Genomic DNA, 22,767 nt, shown 5'->3' with positions numbered 1-22,767 from the left:
CTCTGGGTTTTGGTAGAGATTGAAGACCAACAGACCTCAGACTCATTTAGAAGTACTTAGTTGAGGAAAAACCCTTCATAAGCAGTCGCTTGACAGGTGACATTTTAAATCTCCTGTCATTTACTGTGCCATTGGCTTACATCTGTTCTCAGGAAAAGTTCCAAAATTTTCACCATGAAATAAAAACACCTGTGTCAATGTAATTGTTGTCAGGTTACTCAGCCTTATCTCTCGCCGCTTACCGCACTCTGCCCTTTGCTCTAGCACCAAAGTGGGCGGAGTAGAACTCTGTAGGGCTCTTCCTCACCTCAGGCTCTTTGCCTTCGCCTCGTCTCTCTATCTGGCAAGCTTTTCCTTGTCCTTCAGGTATCAACCTATTTATCTGCTCCACAAAGCCCATGATATTGACACAAAAGTGGGGTAGATGTCCCTTCTGTGTTTTCCAGTAGTGCCCTGCTTTATACCTGTCATAGTGTCTATGACTCTATACGGACATTGCCTGCCTGTCTGTTGTTTTAGGTTATAGCATATGACTGTTGAGAGGTGGACCATGCCATCTTCATATTGTAATTCCAGTACTGATTCTAGTGCCTTAGCACGTGGGTGTTGAGTACATGAATAAAGAATGGAAAAGCTGTGATATTTAACCACAATTAGAATTAATGCCATGCGTTAATTATTTAATAGTAATTTTGTATTGTAATCGTACGTACATATTTCTCATTCTTTTTAACTCTGATAACGTTCTCAACTCTTTAGATTTTAAACTCACAGTTAACTGAAATGTTTTGGGTAAAGAACATAATCCTTTCTTTTTCTTTCCAGCTTTTGCTGTGTTGGGCACTTGCTCCCATCTGCTTTCTTCTCTAGAATCCACTGGTAAGCCACATCTAATAAAGAGAATATTTAACCATAAAATCTTAAGGAAAAGTTGTGTGATTTAAAAGATCATAAAACTTTATTACTGGGCTATTGACATGAAATTTTAATTGCTTCTCATAAAATATATAACATCACAATCTTTACTAAAGTAGAATATTTTCATATCATATGTATGATGAACATTTATTATGGTATTTTAAATGATGTTTTTTAGCCCCCTTAAGTTTTAAGTGGATCTTGCAAATGAACACCAGTATTATGGAGTTTGACATACTCAAATTGCCCAAATGTCAGCTGTTTAAAAAGCCAAACAACCAAGTCATCCTTGATACTTTAGTAAAGGTCATCGAAGCCTTCTTTGCATTTTACAGGTTTTATTACTATATATAGTAGGAGACTTAAAGAGTACCTGCCAGGTTTGTCCATACTAATGTTATGAATTTCTTTTTGTAGTTCAACCGTATTTTGTGTGGAGATACTTTGAGGCTCTGTAAATATCTGGTTACTCCTAAAAACCCACTAGATTCGGTATTTCATTGATGTCTTGTCTTTGAACAAGTATTACTGTGATGGTTGCCAGATGATTATTTTCGTATTCTCTTGTTTGTTCTACATGGAGAAATAAAACCAATAAATAAAGGAGAAGGGAAAGCTCATGATTCTGGTGCTCCAATTCCCCAAGATGAGGCCAGTGGTAGACATTTCTTTATGTCTGACTTTATGTCTTTTTGATTTGTCTCTGTTACTCTTGTCAGCACTTTTTTACTTTCTGGCACAAGATGTTCCAAACTAATCTTGTATTTTCTCTGTTCCAGCCCTAGAATGAGTAATTTTTCTTAGAAGCAGAGTTGGAACCACTGAGGAAGCACAGGTGAGCCCTCCCCAGCACACACTCGCTAGTCCCCAACAGAAGAACTGTTGCTGCATCCATTGAGGTACCAAGAAACTAGCAAAGGGCCTTCTGGCTGTCTGGGGACAGTCCTCATGTGGTCCCTGGCTCAGCCTCAAGGGTTCTGGATTAATTTGTCTGCAGCCTCTGTGCTGTGTCTCTAGATCGGGGCTCTGTGGGAAGGGCAGTGGGAGACCCAGCAGCACAGGGTGTCTCGTCTGCCAAATGTCCCTCCCTTCTCCCACTCTGACACTCAGGAATAGGGTAGATGGCATGTCCAGGCAGTGCCAGGCCACCTCATTGTCTCCTTTGAGATGGGCCCAGAGGGCCTTGGGGGGCGAGTGTGAAGCTGGGTACCTGGAGCCTGAGGCTGACTGTCCTTCCTGTGTCTTGGAGGAGAGGCCTTGGGGCCCAAGAAACCCCCCCGGGCCTGATCTCTGGGCACACATGCAGGGAGGGAGGGTCTGTGGGCTGACTGGGGCATTGTAATGAGACGTTGAGCACCACTGCACAGGGGCCTCGTCAGTGGATCATGGTTAGAGATGACCTAGCCATCAGGACCTGGTCAGTTGGGACCAGATCAGCAGGGACCTGGCTAGAGGGTGGCCTCCTCAGTGAAGGCCTCACCAATGGGGACCTGGTGACCTAGTCATTGGAAGCCTAGTCAGTGGGGACCTGGTCAGTGGTGGCCTTATTAGTGGGGTCTGATCGGTTGGAACACAAACAATAAAAAACTGGCCGGTGGGGTCTATTCAGTATATTAGGGGTCTGGTCAGTGTGGGGCCTTAGTGGCTTGGAGCCTGGTCAGTGAGGGCCTGGTCAGAGGGGGCTCGGTCAGCTGGGGACTGATCCATGGAGAATTGTTCAGTGGGGGTGAGGTGAGGGGCAACCTGGTAAATTGTGGTCTTATCAGTGGGAACCCAGTCAGTGGGGTCTGGTCCGTGAGGCCTATTAATAGGGGCCTCTTCCTGGTTATGGAGACATGGCCAGTGGGGACTTGGCCAGTGGGACCTGGTCAATGGAGGAGTGGTCATTAGGGGCCTTGTCAGTGGGGATCTGGTTTGGGGGGCGCCTGGTCAGTAGGAACCTGGCCAGTTGGCCGCTGTGTGACCTTAGGCAGGGGGTTTGTGGAGCCTCCTTGCTTCCATGTGTAGGAAGGTGAGTCAGGGCACCCTGGAGCGTTGCTGGAAAGAGAATGTGAGAAGATGTGTTGAATTCAGCACTGCTTGGCAGACCTCCAACTTTACACACAACCTGGGTTCCACCTAGAGAGGGTACCAGCCCGCTCTACTCTGCTCGGCGCCCCTCCTCTGTCTGCATCCCCAGGACCACACTCGGTGGGGAGGGCAGAGATTGGGGAGCACCTGTGGATTCTCTAATCCTGGCCCTGGGCCCTGGTGGTGATAGTGATGAGGACCTGGGTGCACCTGTGAGTGGAGCAGCTAGGCCAGGCCAGAGAAGCAAGACAAATACACCCATATGCACATAGACACATACATGCATAAACACATTGCATGCACACATGTGAGTTCAGGGGATAGAGGACACTGATTCTGGGCCCTCTTGACCCAAGCAGGCTCCCGTTGTGGTGTGTTGTGTCACCCCACGATGTCACTGTTGCTGAGCCCCCATTGCCTATGTGTTGTGGAGCAGTTAGAGACACACAGCAGTGTCTGTGAGTGGCTCTGCATGAAGGGCCATTTTCTAGGTGAGAGGCACACCTCAGCACATCTCACTGATCAGACTTACGTGAGTGGAACCTGCTCTCTTCTCTTCTTCCTGGCTTAGGGACAGTCGCTATCAGGTGGATGGTTTTGGCCTCTGGGCAGCTACTGAGGGTAAACCCTGAGCACTCACCAGGTGCCTGTTCTGTGTTGACAGTCATCTGATTCATCCTGGTAGCAATTCCATTCTGCATCTCCTCTGGACACCCACAGGACCACCAGAACAACACCATCATGGCCCTGTCACCAGGCCCAGTTTGGCTCCATGATAACCAAGACGCAGGTCCAGAGACAACCGCCCTGCTTGATGCCTGCATCTGACCTCCCTTGGTGGGTAGTGATGAGCACAACATGGAAGAAGCCAGGGCAGCTTGTGGCCAGCTGCCCTACAGCCCCAGATGGCTGGGGACAAGGATTCCAAAAGGATGATTTTAGAGCTGTAGGATTGAATGACTGGCCTGCTGGGTTTTGGATGTTCATGTATCCTATGAGTCCCATCGGTGTTTGTTTTTCTTTCAGGCAATTTTTCTTCTATTGGCTGGGAATGCTTACCCATTGCCTGTACAATCATTGTACCTTGGAAGTAGTTAACTTGCTTTATAATTCAGAGGCTCATGGGCAGAAGGGACTGTATCCTTGTCCCAGATAAAACTTTGGGCTTTGGACATTTGCTGGAATGAGTTAAGATTTGGGGGACTGTAGGGAAGTCATCATTGTATTTTGCAACGTGAGAAAGACATATGAGATTTGCATGGGCAGGGACAGAATAATATGACTTGGCTCTGTGTCCCACTGCTGTGAAATTGTAACGGGAAATGTTAAAGGTGGTGGGGGCTGGTGGAAGGTGATTTAATCATGGTGGAGAGTGGAGGTTGGAAGGTGGGGGTGGTGGGGAGAATTGGGGGGAATTATGGTGGGGTTGGGGGTGAAAGGCAGGGGTGGGGGTAGATCCTTCACAAGTAATTAAACACCATCTCCTTAATGCTGTCCTTCTGATAGTTCTCGTCATAATTTCGTAGCTGTGAGATTGAATACTGGTCTGCTGGGTTTTGGATGTGCATTGGGCCTGTGGTCCCATTTGTGTTATTTTTCTGGGAAATTTCTTCCCTTTGGATTAAGAAAGCTTACCCAATGCCTGTACCATCATTGTACCTTGAAAGAAAAGAACTCCATTTTAACTTCAGGGACTCATAGGTAGAAGATACTGTAGCCTTGTCTCGGATGAGACTTTGAACTTCTTATAGTTGAGTTGATGCTGGAATGAGTTAAGGCTTTTGGAAACTTTTGAAAAGGCATGATTGTGTTTTACCCTGTGAGAAGGACATGAGATTCGGAAGGGTCAAGGTCTGAATAATATGGTTTGGCTGTGTTTTGCTAGAAAAACTCATGTGGAATTGTAATCCCGAATTTTGGTTGTGAAGCCTGGTGGGAGGTGATTTAATCATGGATGGGAGGTGGGTGGAGGTGTAAGGAGAAAGGGGTGGGGAGGAGTACGCTGGCTGTAGGGTGGTGGGAGGGTGGTGGGTAGTAGGAAGGGGGAGTAGCCTGCTGCACAGGTAGAGGCTCATGGAAAACCTCTACTAGGGCAGTGCACCTGTGGCTTTGCTGCTCTCATGGCTGGGCTGGTGTTGAGTGCCTGTAGCTTTTCCATGCAGAGGGTGGGAGCTGTTGGTGGGTCTATGACTGGGGTCTGGAGGATGATGGTATCCTGTGTGGGAGCTCCAAGCCCATATTTTCCTTCCGCACTTCCCTAGGAGAGGTTTTCCCAGAGGCTCTGCCTCTGCATCAGGCTTCTGCCTGGAAACAGTGGGAGTTGGGGGTGGGGGGCGAATCCTTCATCAATGGTTAAGCACCATCTTTTTGATGCTGAGCTTGTGATAGTGAGTTCCCATGAGATCTGGTTGTATAATAGGGTGTGGCACCTCTTTCCTCTCTCTGTCTTGCTCCTACTCCTGCCACATGAATCATCTCATTGCCCCTTGACATTCTGATATGACTGGGTGGCTTCCTGAGTCCTCCCAGATTCAGAAGCCACTATGTTTCCTTACAGCCTGCAGAATCATGAGATTCTTTATGATCATAGAGAAAATTAGTACTGGAAAGTGGATGTATGAAATGTCTTCAAGGCCTTTTCCCTGTTGTCTTGGCAATCAGCACTCAGCTTCTTTTCATTCAAGTATCTGAAGCCTTGAATTTTCCCCCTGAAAATGGACTTGCCTTCCTTTACCACATTGCCAGGCTGTGACAAAGATAGGTGATAAAGTAGAAGCAGGTTCAGAAGGGGGTAGCAGACAGAGGTTGGGAGAGTTTGAAGGGCTTTGAAGACAGGAAAATGAGGAAAAGTTTGGATCTTTGTAGAGAATTGTTAAATACTTGCGATCAGAAGGCTGACAGGAAAATGGTCAGTGAAAGCCAGACTTAAAAGGTCTCAGATAAAAATGAGGAACTTATTGGGAACAGAAGCCAAGGTTACCTTTGTTTTGCTGTAGCAAGGAATGTGGTGGCACGGTGACCCTGCCCTGGAGATCTGTGAAACTTTAAACTTGAGGGTGATGACTTAGTACATATTTGGTGGAATGAACTTCTAGGAAGCAAAGCTCAAGAGGTGTCCTGTCTGCATTGAACAGCCTGTGCTCTGATGTGTGACTGAGGAAATGACCTCTGGATGGGACTTCCATTAAACAAGTCCCAACTCTTACATTAAATAAGAAACAGAACTCAGAAGTTTGGAAAATTTGCAGCCTGGCCAAGTGGTCAAAAAGAAAATCTGATTTTCAGGGAGAAAATTCAGGAAGGCTTCAGAAATTTGCATAAAAAGGAGCCCAGTGCTAATAGCCAAGACAATAGGGAAGAGGCCTTGAAGGCATTTCATAGAACTTTGCAGCAGCCCTTCCTGTCACAGGCCCTGGGGCCTAGGAGAGAAGAATGGTTTCCTGGGCCAGTCCCATGACCCCCCTCTATGTGCAGCCTCAGGGCACTGCTGCCTACATCCCTGCAGCTCCAGCTCCAGCCATGGCTGAAAATGCACAGATGCAGCTTGGGTCACTGCTTCAGAGAGTGCAGGCTAGAAGCCTTGGTAACTTCCTCATATTGGTAAGCCACTGGGTGGACGGATCTTGAGACTAGAGGCTTGGAAGCCTCTCTGTAGACTTTGGAAGATGTATGGAAATGCCTGGGTGACCAGAAAAAAGCATCCCAAAAAGGCAGAGCCTCATAAGAAACCTCTACTAGGGCAGTGCAGAAGGAAAATATGGGGTTGGAGCCCCCACACTGGAGGCCACCATCATGCAGACCCCAGATTCGTAGACCGACCGATAGCTTGTACCATCAGTCGGGAAAAACTACAGGCACTCAACACCCGCCCAGCCCATGAGTGCAGCCGTGGGGCATAAACCCTGCAAAACCAAAGGTGCAGAGCAGCCCAGGGCCTTCAGAGCCCAGCCCTCACGTCCCTGTGCCCTGGATGTGGGACAAGGTTTCAGAAAGGATGATTTCGGAACTGTAGGATTGAATGACTAGCCTTCTGGGTTTGGAGTTTCATGGGGCCTGTAAGTCCTGTGTTTTGTTCTTTCTGGCAGAATTCTTCCTTTCGGCTGAGAATGCTTACGTAACATTGCCTGCACAAGCATTGTACCTTGGAAGTAGTTAACTTGCTTTATTGTTCAGAGGCTCATGCACCTAAGGGACTGTAGCCTTGTGTCAGATGAGACTTTAAGCTTTGGACATTTGTATAAATGCTGGAATGATATAAGATTTGGAGGGGCTGTAGAGAAGGCATCATTGTATTTTGCAATGTGAGAAGGACATGAGATTTGGGAGCCAGGGACAGAATAATAAAGTTAAAGGTGGGGCCTGGTGGAGGGTGATTTAATTATGGTGGAGAGTGGGGGTTGGAAGGTGGGGGTAGGGAGAATGAGGGGATTATGGTGGGGGTGAGGGGTGAAAAGTGGTGGTCGGGGGTGGATCCTTCACAAATGATTAAACACCACCTCCTTATTGCTGTGCTTATGATAGTGAGTTTTCTTCATGATTTTGGAGCTGTGAGATTGAATGGATACTGGCCTCCTGGGTTTTGGACTTGCATTGGGCCTGTGGTCCTATTTGTGTTTTTTTCCTGGGAAATTTCTTCCCTTTCGATTGAGAAAGCTTATCCAGTGCCTTTACCATCATTGTACCCTGAAAGAAAAGAACATCCTTTTAAATTCAGGGACTCATAGGCAAAAGGGACTGTAGACTTGTCTCAGATGAGATGTTGAACTTTTTACTTTTGAGTTAATGCTGGAATGAGTTAAGACATTTGGAAGGAAACTTTTGAAAAGGCATGAATGTATTTTGCTCTGTGAGAAGGACATGAGATTCTGGGGTATCAGGGTCAGAATAATATGGTTTGGCTGTGTTTATTTACAAAACTCATGTGAATTGTACTTCTTAATGTTGGAGGTGGGACCTGGTGGGAGGTGATTTAATCATGGCAAGAGGGGGTTGGGGTTGGAAGGAAAAGGGGTGGGTAGGGTGGAGAGTAGGTTGGCAGTAGGGTGGTGGGAGGGTGGGGGGTAGTAGGAAGAGGGAGTAGTCTGCTGTAGAGGCAGAGGTTTGTGGAAAACCTCTACTAGGACAGTGAACCTGTGGCTTTGCAGGCTTCAGCCCCCATGGCTGCTCCCATGGGCTGGGCTGGTGTGGAGTGCCTGTAGCCTTTCCATACTGAGGGTGCGAGCTGTTGGTGGGCTTATGAATCTGGGGTCTGGAGGATGGTGGCCTCCTGTGTGGGGGCTCCAAGCCCATATTTTCCTTCTGCACTGCCATAGTGGAAGTTTCCCAAGAGGCTCTGCCTCTGCAGGAGGCTTCTGCCTGGCAACAGTGGGTGGTGGTATGGGCGGTGGTTCCTTCACCAATGGTTAATCTTCTTGATGCTGATCTCCTGATAGTGGGTTCTCTTGAGATCTGGTTGTATAACAGGATGTAGCACCTCCTTCCTCTCTCTGTCTTGCTCCTACTCCTGCCATATGAAATATCTCATTGTCGCTTGGTCTTCTGGTATAGTTAGGAGGGCCCTGATCAGTGTGGGCCTCGTCAGTGGACCTAGTCAGTTGGGACTTGGTCAGTGAGGCCTATTTATTGGGGGCGTGGTCAGCAGGGGTCTGCTTAGAGAGGGTCTCATTAGGGGGATCTAGTAGTGGGGTCTTGGTGAGTGGGGACCTAGTGGCAGCCACTTGTTTGGTGTCTGGTCAGTGTAAAACTAGGCTGCAGGACTTTGTCAGTGGAGACCTGGTCAGCTGGGGCTTAGTGGTGGCCTTGTCAGCATGAGCTGGGTCACTGGTGACCAGGTCAAGGGGTGCTATTCAGTGGAGGCCTGGTCACATGGGACCTAGTCAGCAGGGCCTGGTGGCCATGTCCTCATCAGTGAGGCCCTTGTCAGTGGGGCCCTGATCAGGGCAGCCTGGTCAGTGGAACCTAATCAGTGGGGGCCTGTTCAGAGAGAGCGTGGTCAGTGGTGGCTTTTGTAGCACTGGTCTGTGGGTGACCTGGTCAGCAGGGATCTGAGCAGTGGGTGCCCATTCAGTGGGGCCTACTCACTAGGGTCATAGTCAGAAGTATCTGGTCACCTTGGGCCTGCTTAATAGGGGCCTGGTCAGTGGCAGTCTGTTCCCCGGAGGCTTAGTCAGTAGGACCTCATCTGTGGGGCCAGGCAATGGGGTCATGATCGGTGGAACCTGATCAATGAGGCCTTGTCAGTAAGGACCTGGTCAGTGAGGCCCTGGTGTGTAAGGTCGTGGTCAGTCAGTAGGGTCCTGGTCACTGTGGGCCTGGCAGCAGGGCCTGGTTAGTGGGGCATGGTCATGGGGTTCTAATCAGTGAGGGTGTGGTCAGGGAGGACCTGATGTGCGGGATCTGGTCAGCAGGGACCTGGTGCGGGGGCTGCTGAGCACTGCTGGGAGATGCCAGGTGCAATGCACGTTATCACAGGCCCTATGGACAGCTCAGATGGGCCAGTGGTGCCCAAAAGCCCAGTCAAAAGTGGACAAAGCAGGTGTTTGGATGGACCTGGGAGATCTTGCTCAGAGATTTTGACAGGACAAAGGCAAAGGAAGGGCCAGAGTAGCCGGTGAGATGGTCACAGTCTATGGGCTGCACGGGATGGAGGAAGCCAGGGAACAGGCAGGGTGGGCAGCTGGGGTGCAGGGAGAGGCAGGTACATGCTGGGAGGTCAGATCCTGTCAGTGCTGTGGGGGCGTCAGGTGGGGTGGTCTCCAGTTGCACCCTCAGTGCACTGGGCAGGTCTCAGCCCAGGCTCCCTGCACCCTGGTCGAGTGATGGCGGTCGCTCCCTGAGGGACTTCCGTCGGGCCCCAGCCACCCACCCTGGGCAGTGCTGTCCCATCTCAGGACTGGACTTTCTCAAATCCTGCAGAGGGCACAGCCTCCAGCCCAGGAGGGGCAGCCCCATGGTGCAGCCCGAGCTCTCCATGGGCCTGGAGCATCCCCTGCCAGCCCTGCGCTCCCTCTTCTTCCAGGTCCCGCGTTTCCAGTGTCAGCCAGCAGGGAGGCCCCGTCCTCCCTTCCCTATGTGTCTCCTGGGCAGAAATTTGTGGTGGATTGGGACAGGGATGGTGCTTCCCTCAGGCCCATTTAGGGAGGGGACTGACTCCCAGCCTGGCACGGGTCCTCAGCTCTGCCTTGGTTGCCTTAGAGTGAGAAGGATCATTCTTCATGAAGGTAAAGGTAAGAGACTGTCCGTGCTGTGTGGGAGGCTGGTCTAGAGATGGAGGACTTAACAGTTCCTCCCAGTCTGTCAGGCCTGGGCAGCACCGTCCTGTCTCAGGACTCAGAAAGTCCAGTCCTGCGATGGGACGGTGCTGCCCAGGGTGGGTGGCCGGGGCCTGACAGCAGTCCCCCAGGGAGTGACCACATCACCCAGGTGGGGTCCAGAGAGCCTGGCCTGAGACCTGCCCAGTGCACTGAGGGTGTACCTGGAGCCCACTCCACCTGATACCCCCACAGCCCTTGCAGGCTCTGACTTCCTAGCAGGGTCATTCACTCATCTGGGGCAGGGGAGTTCGCCGCCCTCAGCAGCCTCCATGAAGGCCGTCCCCCCAGCCCCCCGCCCCCCACCTACACATGCACAGAGCTGGAAGGTCTATCCCCACCACCACTCCAGAGTGCGAGAAAGGGAGAGGCAGTGGGATGGGGACTCTGTGCTTCACATGTTGGCTGAGCTAAGAGGGCCCATCTCCATCCCAGCCTTTGTCAGGGAGAGAAGGGGCTTCCCAGGGCAGACATTATCTATTCTTCACCAGGATACCCAGGGTCAAGACTTCTCCCACTTCTGAACTCAGGGTCCAGCACTCTCCCACCCAAACTTCCACTATTTTGTGACACATGAAGTTATTTGGCTGTGGCACTTCCTGGAGCCTGCATGGAGATGTTCAGCCCTGTGACATCTCTGCAAACCTTCTCCCTATAGTTGCATAAAGTTTGAGGTGGACAGTAAGTAGTGGAAAGATGGGTTGAACCTTATTTCAGAGTGGGATCTTCATAGGTTTTTCTCATCTTGTTTTTAGAATTTTTTGTTGTTTGTGTAAAGATGGTATTACGGAAACATAAGGTTCAGTGAAGGAACTCAGGATGAAGGTGGGCTTACAGCACCGCTGTCAGCCTCCCTCCATGTCCTGTCGCTTCTAGAAACCAAGCCCACACCAAGCACAGCACAAATAAAAGCCATCACCCTCTTATGAATAAAAAACCGTATATATTGTGGAATATTAAATGTTCTGCGTGTACTAACATGAGAGAAAATACTTTTCCTCTACATAGAGTGAATTTTTTCTTGGTGACTTGTTTTTCTCTAGGGAAGGCTAAAAAGGAATTTGTGACTGACCAAATTAGATACCTCCCTGAAAAAGACAGTGCCTTGGTCAGTGGTGATGGTGGCTGGAGGCACTGGGTGTCTTCGGCCGGTGCTGAGGGGGACTGACTGGGGATACAGCTTTCTTGGGGAGCAAGAGTTGGGGATGTCGCAGGCCCCATTGCTCATTGTTGCACCGGACACTTTTCAAGGGCTGCTGATCTCTGATTTGTCTGTCTCTGTTGGGACGACTCTGGTTCTTGAGAGTGGCTTGTTGACTGCTGGCTGCATAGCTCAGCATTCTGCTGTGGTCTGAGTAGAACGGGTGTCTGTGGTTGCAGGGAAACCCACAGACTGGGGCTTGAAACTGCTGTCTTTGCTGATTTACCTTCGAGGCATGGCGCGCATGGCAAAGTGACATGTTCTCCTCCGGTATCTGTCCAACTGCTGTCATGAGCCTCTCAGCTTCAGCACTGCTGCCGTACACGCATGATCTGTTTTTTACTGTTTTTTGGCTCTCAGCAGTGACTGGTGCTGGCTTCCTTTCTTTCTTTGAAAAAATCGTCTCAAAAAATTGCTTGATGTTTTCTCCAAAGTGGCTTATTGAAGGAGGCTGTTTCTTTGATGGCAGTAGCTGGACGCCTTCATTCTGACGGGTGTCTTCTGTTTTTCTGCCTGGGGTAAGTTGAGGAGTCCTCAATCCTTGAAACATTTCTTCATGTTTTTCTAAGTTGGGCTTCCTAGAGTTCTCCCTCTTGTGAGTAGGGGGAAACATTGGGCTTTGGCTCTTGCATGAGCCTTGACAGTTTGGGTTCCTGGGCTCCTTGTGCCCCATGTTACTCCTTCTGGCTGACATGAGGTCACATAGCTCCTGGGAAGCCTGCATGTTCCCAGTAGGCGTGCTCTGGAGATGGCCCTGGGGCACTTGAGAAGCCAAATTCTCTGAAGCATGGGGCACAACAGATGCTTGCCCATCTGGAAGGAGCACAACAGCGGCAGAAACTTGAGGCTGGGTCTCTGACTTCGTGGCCATTCCAGGCTCAAATTCACTAACAGCCTCCTCCATGAGACACAGCTTTCTTGGGTCTTGGGAGACAGACATTCTAGGGAGTAGAGAGCTTTTGCTGGCGCCTGGAGCCTTGAAACCACGCACATCCTCACTTGTGGCTTGGAGGTTTGCTCTCATACAGGTTCCCAAGGGGACTGTGGGTTGTGGCACTGCCTCCCTGGTCTCTCCAGCCCTTGAAGATTGGGCTCCTAAGCTCCTGCTCTGCTGGGTGCTGCCTTTGAGGCTGTATGTGAGGGGCTTAGATGGCCACCTGCCCTCCTGTCCAGCTGTAGGAGCCTTCAAGGACCCATGATCATTTGAAGATGGGATCCCTCGCGGGGCCCTCTGGAACTGCTTACATGCAGGTGAGGAGGCCTGAAGCCTCTCTGGCATGTGAACAGATGGTTTGGTCAGCACTTGCTTTCTCAGACTTGCCATTGGTGGCTCTCCAAGGAGCGTGGCCACCTCAACTTTTGAGCCAGCCCCAGATTCGCAGGTGTCTGAGGAGGGACCAGCAAGCTGTATAAGGGACAAGGATGAAACCTTTTCCAGTTGAAAGCACTGAATGGGCTTGAGGACCCTGAGGGGTAGACCCCACCTGTGTTTGGCCCAAAACCTCACAATATGGGCTTCCAGCACCTGCTGAGTACACAGCTCAAGGAAGGAAAGCACCTGGGCTGTGTTTACACAGGCTTTCCTACTTTTCGGGGCTGCTAGATTGCTGGTTTTCACGTGGGTGTTGGATACGGGAAAAGCCTGGTTGACAGCAAGCCAGGATCGACGCACACTCACGGGGATCAAGCCCTCGTTGGTCTGGCCCAACTTTCTGCCCATGTGGGCTTTCAGGATGTTTTCTATATGATTCCTCTCTGTGCGTCTTAATAAATCACTTCCTGAGTCACTCCTCAAGGGCTTCCTCAGGTTCCTTTCTGACTCCTCAGAGGTCGCCCCCAGAACCTTCCCTGGGAAGCTTTCCATGCCCCTGGATAGATTTTGTGGGGTCTCACCCAGAATTTGCCCCAGATGTGGGCATGGGTCCCTCTCTAGCTGGAACTTCACCGTCTGTGCCTCCTTGCTGCTTTCACCTGTGGACGTGGAGGACTGCCAGGGCCTGGGTTTGCCCTTGGCCTGACTTGTCCCTGGCAATTCATCCTGAAGCTGCATCAGATCCAGAGACTCTTGGATCCTTCCACGTTGCCCCATGTATTGCTCCAGTTGTCTCCAGAGTTCAGGACTGACTGGAAAGTTCTCAGGCAGAATGGATGTCAGTCTTTCCTGGGGAAGGTTAGGAGTGGAGACACTAAAGACGTCCTGAGATTTTTGGACCCTAGAGGGTAAAGCCAACCCACCTTCTAGTTGTTTCCTCAACAAAGGCCTTTCAGGGTGCTGAGTTTCAGGTAAGGAGAGAGCTTGCACTTTATTCTGCGACGCAGGGCAAGCTACTCCAGTGTTCTTCATCGGGGATAGAAAAGCAGGAGATAGGACTGGGAAAGAGGATTGAAGATGGGCCTGAGCCTCGGCCTGAGCCATAGGTGTGGGCCGGAATTGGGGTGTGGATGAAATAAAGGGTTGGGACTCAGGCCCCAGATGGGACAGGGGCTGGGCCTGGAAAAGCAGTGGGGACATTGTGGTGTCCCTTTGGCGGGAAAGATGATCTTGCTGGACTGACGAGTTGAAGATGCACCAGGTTTTGGTAGTCTCCTGCGACCAGGAGAGGGCAGAAACTTGACTGTTTGAGCCGCCAAGGCCTGAGATGGCTGGGACAGAAGCCGCCAAATCCTCACGTGGAGACAAGCTTTGAGGGACGGTGTCCAGTGGAAGTGCCACTGAGTCACAGTGAGATGGTGTTAACAGAGTGGAGTCCCGCAGGGGAGGAGGAGTGAAGCCTTTCGGAGGAGGTGGAGAGCAGGCCAGAGGATCAGGGGTGTGTGGTGGGTGAGGGAAAAGTGCAGGTGGCTCGGGTGAGGGGCGTTCTAGGAGAAGGGAAGGTTCTGGTGGCTGGGAGGCACTTAGGGAGGAGACTGAGGTGGTCATTGGGCCTGGTGGTGGGGTGGAGGCCAGATCCTGAGGATGCTTGGTTCGAGGATCCGGGGAAGCTAACGGGGAGACAATGGGAGCAGCATCTTCCATAGGCTCATGAGAGGACCGGGAGGCTCCATCAGGTGTTCTTTTGCCCACCTCACCTGGCGGGTCTGGACCAGAGAGCTGACCAAAGTCACCTTTTTCAAGGTGTGGCCCCAGGAGGCTGCAGGAGACAGGAGGCACAAGCTGCAGCCAGGAGCCAGATGGGTTCGGAGGGCAGAGTGGGCGCTTGGGCCACAGCCCCTCCACCACGCCACACCCTCTCCACCACGCCACACCCTGACCACCCAATTCTCCTGCTACCCCTCGCCCCAGGGCTTTACTCCCATCCTCTGTCCCCCTGGTCTCCCCATCCCAGGTCAGCTCCAGGCTGCCTGTGGCCCTGGGGTCACGTCCCAGCCCTGGTAGGAAGGATGCAGGGAAGGGGAAGTGCCTCACCTCTGCAGTTGTGAAAGCAGGTCCCAAGTCTCCTCCAGGCCTCTCGGGCACTCTCTACAAGCTGGAAATCAGACCGGGTTAGGGCAGTGAGGGAGGGGCTTGGGATCTCACAGGAGGCTGAGTGTATGTTTCTTTAGGGAAGACCATGGGGAATTAGACCCTGGAACCCACCCATCTGTGTCCAAAGCCACATGGCCCCGACGGTAATAGCAAGGCATAGAGGACAGGGCTTTGTCATTCACAAAGGGCTTCCACACACAGACCCTCCACCCCCACGGTCCTCACAACTGCCCTGTGAGGAGAAAGGACTGGGGTGGTCTCAGAGAGGAATCAGCCTTAGCAGAGTTGAACAGCTGTTCCCAGGGAGCGGGAGGCCCCTCACCCCCCTCCGCATCCAGGCAGGCATTGGTCTCCCCAGGACACACACACTGCCCCCTGCTGGGTAACGCTCAGTCCCTGGCCCACCATGGCTTCATTCCGGCGGCACAGAATCTGAGAAGGACCCAGGGTTCTGATTTCCTTCCTAGGAGCCCCCACCTCAGGTTTTTTCAACTGACTTCTTCAGAGTCAGTTCCCTCCCGGACAGATGAGATCAAATTAACTCTAGTGTGCCCTGGCAGAGCCTTACCTCTCAGACTGTGGTTTTTCATCCTGCCTCTGGGCCTCCCCCTCCGCCCTGTTGGACACTGGGAGACAAGATGACGCTGGGAGACAAGATGACGCTGGGAGACAAGAAATGGCGAGGAGCTAGGACCGGCTCTCCCTCTCTGCCCCCAGCCGCAGCACGCTGCACTCATGAACCGCATGGCTCTGTCTGTCTTGCTCAGGGAGCTCTGTGTGCTTTCTCCCCTCCCACTCATGTTTAAATGGATGATAAACTGCTTTTCTTAGAAAAACAGGAAGAGGGGGTCGGGTGCGGTGGCTCACGCCTATAATCCAAGCACTTTGGGAGGCCGAGGCAGGTGGATCACCTGAGGTCAAGAGTTTGAGACCAGCCTGGCCATGGTGAAACCCCATCTCTACTAAAAATACGAAAATTAGCCAGGCGTGGTGGCGGGCGCCTGTAATCCCCAGCTACTCAGGACGCTAAGACAGGAGAATAGCTTGAACTCTGGAAGCAAAGGTGGCACTGAGCCGGTATCGCTTCATTTCACTGCAGCCTGCACAAAAAACAAAATAAATAAAAATAACACACAAACACACACGCACACACACAGGGATTTTCAATATGAGGTCCACCATGGACGCCATCAGTCCCTGTTCCTCTGCTCCAGGAACACCCAGGCTCAGGCCCGCAGGCACCACTGAGCTGTCAGGTAGCATTCTGCTTGCCAGGAGACCAGAGGAGATGCCAGGCCCCGGTGGGAGGCCCTCGGGGGCCCAGCACAGGCCCCATATCACCCCACACAGAAGAGGCTGGGTCCCGAGCCACCTGCCCCAGGAAGGGACTGATGAGCCAGGGCTCAGGGCCTGGCCTCGGACAGAGACCTCCCGTCTCATGACCAGAGACCTCCCCCGTCTCATGACCGGTCCTGGCCGCTGAGCCCACGGGTTTGATTTTGCCTTCATGCCTCCTGGCTCCCCCACAGATGGACTGAGAGCTTGGGATGGAAATCCCAGTACACGATCTACCCCTACCAACCCCTGGCTGCCCTGCCTCTCCCTGGAAGCATGCTGTTCTGGTCTCTCCTGAGACTTCCCATCGCAGAAGTCTCCACTGGATTTGGAAAGGTGGAACTAATAATAAAAAGAAAGAAGAGAATCAAGCTCTGTGGGTCTGGACTGAGAGCTCCTTACCTTTCTCTTCCTAGGCGATGGTGAGGGTGGGTTGTCACAACGGAGGTAAGAGAAGTAGGGGAGTAATAGGAAGAAGAGCCCCAGGGCAAACACCAAGGTGAGGAAGATATCCAACACCCATGGTGTGGAGCTGGGGGTGTTTAGTGATGAGGCACTAAGTAATTTTAGAGGAAAGGGAAGATTCTCCATGTGAATAGGCGCATTGCTTTCTAGCAACTGAGCTCTGGGCATCCTCGTGGAGACTAGGGACTGGGGCCCAGGCCCGCATCACAGAGCTGGGGCTTCACATCACAAAGGGCTCCTTTGTTGGGGAGGGGCAGTAGGAGGGGGAGGCCGAAGCACAGCCCCTCCCCACCCTCCAAGCCGGGGATCCCTTCACCCTCCCGCCTTCCAGATCCCTCCTTCGCACTAAGTTTTGTCAGTGATAGAACTCAGCCAGTTTTCTATTCTTTCTCCCTGGAACACAGATATTACCTGGTTCCTTTTATCTATTGGAGTCGGTGGCTTGAGGTTACCTATTTCATAGCCTTTGAAAATCTGTAGTTGACTCTGAAATTTTGGCTTATGTACCAGGGATTTTTATTTTCAGAATCTCGTTCGTCCTCAACTCCAGCTTTCCCACACAATGTTTTTGTCTTCTGTGAATCCAGGGACAAAATGTAAATTTCTTTTACTCTTATTTAGTTTTGCAAATTTTGAATAGTAAGTTTTAAAAAATTATTTCTATCTCACTTTCCTTTTTTTTTATTTTTTTTATTTTTTTGAGACGGAGTCCCTCTCTGTCGCCCAGGCTGGAGTGCAGTGGCGTGATCTTGGCTCACTGCAAGCTCCGCCTCCCGGGTTCCAGCCATTCTCCTGTCTCAGCCTCCTGAGTAGCTGGGACTACAGGCGCCCACCACCACCACGCCCTGCTAATTTCTTTTTGTATTTTTAGTAGAGACGGGGTTTCACCGTGTTAGCCAGGATGGCCTCGATCTCCGGACCTTGTGATCTGCCCGCCTCTGCCTCCCAAAGTGCTGGGATTACAGGCATGAGCCACTGCGCCCATCCTTCTATCTCACTTTGAATCAAAGGGACCTACCCACATACAATTAAGATTTTTTTAAAATTCTATTTATGTACTTATGTATTTATTTTAAGTTCCGGGGTACATGTGCAGGACCTGCAGTTTTCCTTTCTTTTTGAGATGGAGTCTCACTCTGTTGCCCAGGCTGGAGTGCAGTGGCACGCTCTTGGCTCACTGCAACCTGTGCGTCCTGGGTTCATGCCATTCTCCTGCCTCAGCCTCCCGAGTAGCTGGGACTACAGGCATGTGCTACCACGCCCGGCTAATTTTTTGTATTTTTGGTAGAGACTGGGTTTCACCGTGTTAGCCAGGATGGTCTTGTTCTCCTGACCTTGTGATCCGCCCGCCTTGGCCTCCCAAAGTGCTGGGATTACAGGCGTGAGCCACCGTGCCGGGCCTGCTGTCTTATTTTAATGTCTCTCTGGGCTTGATAATTTAAAAGGACTGGCATTCCTCTGATAAAAGTTTTTTTATTTTCTCATTTTCCATCAATCTATCCTGTTCAGTGAAATATCGGTTCATGCCTTTAGCCCATTTTCTAATTGGCTTGTTTTTTCTTGTTGTCGTTGTTGACTTTTGAAAACTTTAAACAATATTCTAGATATGAGCTCCTTGTCAGATATGGTTTATCAGGTGTGGTTTGCACTTTTCTTCCAGTTTTTACCCTGTCTTTTTATTAACAGGCTCTTATGCAGGGCAAAAGTTTTAAATTTTGATAACATCCAATTAATAAATTCTTAGAATTGATTGTGCTTTTCTGGTGTCATGTCTAATAATTATTCATCAAGTCCTAGGACCTGAAGAATTTCTCATTAAATTTCATATTTTTACATTGAGATATGTGATCTTTTTTTTTTTTTTTGAGATGGAGTCTTCCTCCATCTTCATATCTGACCACCATTGGTATCTAATTGGTTTTCTTATTGTCTACCATCCCCAGGTGATATCTGATCACTCTGGCATGGCTTCAGCAAGAATTCTGTGAGGTCAGTTTAGCCAGATACCCTCCTATTAGTAATTTTCCATACACTACCACCCCTCCACCCTGCTCTGTGGCTATAAAATTTCTATTCAGAGGGAAACCTGAATATATGGAAACTGGAGATTACTGCAAGACCCTATTGCAGTAATCTCTATATCTATTGCAATAATCCCTCTGAATAACGTTTGTCTTACTATTTTTTAACAGGTGTCACGAATAGTTTTTTCTATAATACAGCTCAACAAAACAAGTCTGAAATAGAAGAATAAAGTGGGAGGAATTATTCTCCCCAATTTTTTAACTTTTTACATAGCTACAGAAATCAAGACAGTGTGGTATTGGCAGGGGGACAGACAGTTCAATAAAACAGAATTGAGAACTCAGAAATAGTTCCATACAAGTACAACCAACTGACTTTTGAAAAAAGTGCAATATCAGTTCAATAGTACAGTGGTTCTGGAGCAGTTAGATACCATAGACAAAACAATAACCTCAATCTAACCTCATGTCTTTATTAAAAAAAAAAGGATCAGCCGGGCGCGGTGGCTCATGCCTGTAATCCCAGCACTTTGGGAGGCCGAGGCAGGTGGATCACCTAAAGTCAAGAGTTTGAGACCAGCCTGGCCATGGTGAAACCCCATCTCTACTAAAAATACGAAAATTAGCCAGGCGTGGTGGCGGGCGCCTGTAATCCCCAGCTACTCAGTACGCTAAGACAGGAGAATAGCTTGAACTCTGGAAGCAAAGGTGGCACTGAGCCGGTATCGCTCCATTTCACTGCAGCCTGCACAAAAAACAAAATAAATAAAAATAACACACAAACACACACGCACACACACAGGGATTTTCAATATGAGGTCCACCATGGACGCCATCAGTCCCTGTTCCTCTGCTCCAGGAACACCCAGGCTCAGGCCCGCAGGCACCACTGAGCTGTCAGGTAGCATTCTGCTTGCCAGGAGACCAGAGGAGATGCCAGGCCCCGGTGGGAGGCCCTCGGGGGCCCAGCACAGGCCCCATATCACCCCACACAGAAGAGGCTGGGTCCCGAGCCACCTGCCCCAGGAAGGGACTGATGAGCCAGGGCTCAGGGCCTGGCCTCGGACAGAGACCTCCCGTCTCATGACCAGAGACCTCCCCCGTCTCATGACCGGTCCTGGCCGCTGAGCCCACGGGTTTGATTTTGCCTTCATGCCTCCTGGCTCCCCCACAGATGGACTGAGAGCTTGGGATGGAAATCCCAGTACACGATCTACCCCTACCAACCCCTGGCTGCCCTGCCTCTCCCTGGAAGCATGCTGTTCTGGTCTCTCCTGAGACTTCCCATCGCAGAAGTCTCCACTGGATTTGGAAAGGTGGAACTAATAATAAAAAGAAAGAAGAGAATCAAGCTCTGTGGGTCTGGACTGAGAGCTCCTTACCTTTCTCTTCCTAGGCGATGGTGAGGGTGGGTTGTCACAACGGAGGTAAGAGAAGTAGGGGAGTAATAGGAAGAAGAGCCCCAGGGCAAACACCAAGGTGAGGAAGATATCCAACACCCATGGTGTGGAGCTGGGGGTGTTTAGTGATGAGGCACTAAGTAATTTTAGAGGAAAGGGAAGATTCTCCATGTGAATAGGCGCATTGCTTTCTAGCAACTGAGCTCTGGGCATCCTCGTGGAGACTAGGGACTGGGGCCCAGGCCCGCATCACAGAGCTGGGGCTTCACATCACAAAGGGCTCCTTTGTTGGGGAGGGGCAGTAGGAGGGGGAGGCCGAAGCACAGCCCCTCCCCACCCTCCAAGCCGGGGATCCCTTCACCCTCCCGCCTTCCAGATCCCTCCTTCGCACTAAGTTTTGTCAGTGATAGAACTCAGCCAGTTTTCTATTCTTTCTCCCTGGAACACAGATATTACCTGGTTCCTTTTATCTATTGGAGTCGGTGGCTTGAGGTTACCTATTTCATAGCCTTTGAAAATCTGTAGTTGACTCTGAAATTTTGGCTTATGTACCAGGGATTTTTATTTTCAGAATCTCGTTCGTCCTCAACTCCAGCTTTCCCACACAATGTTTTTGTCTTCTGTGAATCCAGGGACAAAATGTAAATTTCTTTTACTCTTATTTAGTTTTGCAAATTTTGAATAGTAAGTTTTAAAAAATTATTTCTATCTCACTTTCCTTTTTTTTTATTTTTTTTATTTTTTTGAGACGGAGTCCCTCTCTGTCGCCCAGGCTGGAGTGCAGTGGCGTGATCTTGGCTCACTGCAAGCTCCGCCTCCCGGGTTCCAGCCATTCTCCTGTCTCAGCCTCCTGAGTAGCTGGGACTACAGGCGCCCACCACCACCACGCCCTACTAATTTCTTTTTGTATTTTTAGTAGAGACGGGGTTTCACCGTGTTAGCCAGGATGGCCTCGATCTCCTGACCTTGTGATCTGCCCGCCTCTGCCTCCCAAAGTGCTGGGATTACAGGCATGAGCCACTGCGCCCATCCTTCTATCTCACTTTGAATCAAAGGGACCTACCCACATACAATTAAGATTTTTTTAAAATTCTATTTATGTACTTATGTAATTTTATTTTAAGTTCCGGGGTACATGTGCAGGACCTGCAGTTTTCCTTTCTTTTTGAGATGGAGTCTCACTCTGTTGCCCAGGCTGGAGTGCAGTGGCACGCTCTTGGCTCACGGCAACCTGTGCCTCCTGGGTTCATGCCATTCTCCTGCCTCAGCCTCCCGAGTAGCTGGGACTACAGGCATGTGCTACCACGCCCGGCTAATTTTTTGTATTTTTGGTAGAGACTGGGTTTCACCGTGTTGGCCAGGATGGTCTCGATCTCCTGACCTTGTGATCCGCCCGCCTTGGCCTCCCAAAGTGCTGGGATTACAGGCGTGAGCCACCGTGCCGGGCCTGCTGTCTTATTTTAATGTCTCTCTGGGCTTGATAATTTAAAAGGACTGGCATTCCTCTGATAAAAGTTTTTTTATTTTCTCATTTTCCATCAATCTATCCTGTTCAGTGAAATATCGGTTCGTGCCTTTAGCCCATTTTCTAATTGGCTTGTTTTTTCTTGTTGTCGTTGTTGACTTTTGAAAACTTTAAACAATATTCTAGATATGAGCTCCTTGTCAGATATGGTTTATCAGGTGTGGTTTGCACTTTTCTTCCAGTTTTTACCCTGTCTTTTTATTAACAGGCTCTTATGCAGGGCAAAAGTTTTAAATTTTGATAACATCCAATTAATAAATTCTTAGAATTGATTGTGCTTTTCTGGTGTCATGTCTAATAATTATTCATCAAGTCCTAGGACCTGAAGAATTTCTCATTAAATTTCATATTTTTACATTGAGATATGTGATTTTTTTTTTTTTTTGAGATGGAGTCTCGCTCTGTCGCCCAGGCTGGAAGTGCAGTGGTGCCATCTCGGCTCACTGCAAGCTCCGCCTCCCGGGTTCACGCCATTCTCCTGCCTCAGCCTCCCGAGTAGCTGGGACTACAGGCACCTGCCACCATGCCCGGTTAATTTTTTTGTATTTTTAGCAGAGACGGGGTTTCACCTTGTTAGCCAGGGTGGTCTCGATCTCCTGACCTCGTGATCCTCCCGCCTCAGCCTCCCAAAGTGCTGGGATTACAGGCATGAGCCACCACGCCCGGCTGATCCTTTTTTTTTTTAATAAAGACATGAGGTTAGATTGAGGTTATTGTTTTGTCTATGATATCTAACTGCTCCAGAACCACTGTACTATTGAATTGATATTGCACTTTTTTCAAAAGTCAGTTGGTTGTACTTGTATGGAACTATTTCTGAGTTCTCAATTCTGTTTTATTGAACTGTCTGTCCCCCTGCCAATACCACACTGTCTTGATTTCTGTAGCTATGTAAAAAGTTAAAAAATTGGGGAGAATAATTCCTCCCACTTTATTCTTCTATTTCAGACTTGTTTTGTTGAGCTGTATTATAGAAAAAACTATTCGTGACACCTGTTAAAAAATAGTAAGACAAACTTTATTCAGAGGGATTATTGCAATAGATACAGAGAT

The 22,767-nt window shown here is 49.9% G+C and overlaps 1 protein-coding gene and 1 long non-coding RNA gene across 3 annotated transcripts in view; one reads left to right on the top strand and one right to left on the bottom strand.

Annotated features, from left to right (window-relative positions):
- Positions 1–22,767, top strand: part of LOC497256 (uncharacterized) — a 71,588-nt gene that overhangs the window by 4,379 nt on the left and 44,442 nt on the right. Inside the window, exons 2-3 of the long non-coding RNA NR_149022.1 lie at positions 826–879; positions 1,698–1,753. This is a non-coding gene — a long non-coding RNA (uncharacterized LOC497256). The remainder of the gene's footprint in view (positions 1–825; positions 880–1,697; positions 1,754–22,767) is intronic.
- Positions 11,225–20,946, bottom strand: SPATA31C1 (SPATA31 subfamily C member 1). 2 transcript variants are annotated; one of them, XM_011518702.1, is made up of 4 exons: positions 20,172–20,946; positions 15,534–15,627; positions 14,906–14,966; positions 11,225–14,630 (listed from the first exon to the last, which is right to left on the bottom strand). In XM_011518702.1, the coding sequence occupies exons 1-4, from the start codon at positions 20,400–20,402 to the stop codon at positions 11,408–11,410; spliced, it is 3,609 nt and encodes a 1,202-aa protein (XP_011517004.1). In that variant the 5' UTR covers positions 20,403–20,946; the 3' UTR covers positions 11,225–11,407. The 2 variants fall into 2 exon arrangements, with proteins under 2 accessions (XP_011517004.1, NP_001138596.1); NM_001145124.1 differs by lacking the exon at positions 20,172–20,946 and adding an exon at positions 16,703–16,920.

The sequence above is a fragment of the Homo sapiens genome, chromosome 9, assembly GCF_000001405.40.
Source record: "Homo sapiens chromosome 9, GRCh38.p14 Primary Assembly".
NCBI lineage: Eukaryota > Metazoa > Chordata > Mammalia > Primates > Hominidae > Homo > Homo sapiens.
The sequence above is the reverse complement of the archived record's forward strand: the minus strand, read 5'-3'. Positions and strand labels throughout refer to the sequence as shown.

Excerpts from the sequence above, each read along its gene's own strand:
- SPATA31C1 (XM_011518702.1), bottom strand. The coding sequence starts at position 20,402 with ATGCCCAGAGCTCAGTTGCTAGAAAGCAATGCGCCTATTCACATGGAG. Across the intron at positions 14,967-15,533 it reads GAAAAACCACAGTCTGAGAG|CTTGTAGAGAGTGCCCGAGA; the intron begins GTAAGGCTCTGC and ends TCTGATTTCCAG. Across the intron at positions 14,631-14,905 it reads CTGCTTTCACAACTGCAGAG|CCTCCTGGGGCCACACCTTG; the intron begins GTGAGGCACTTC and ends TGTCTCCTGCAG.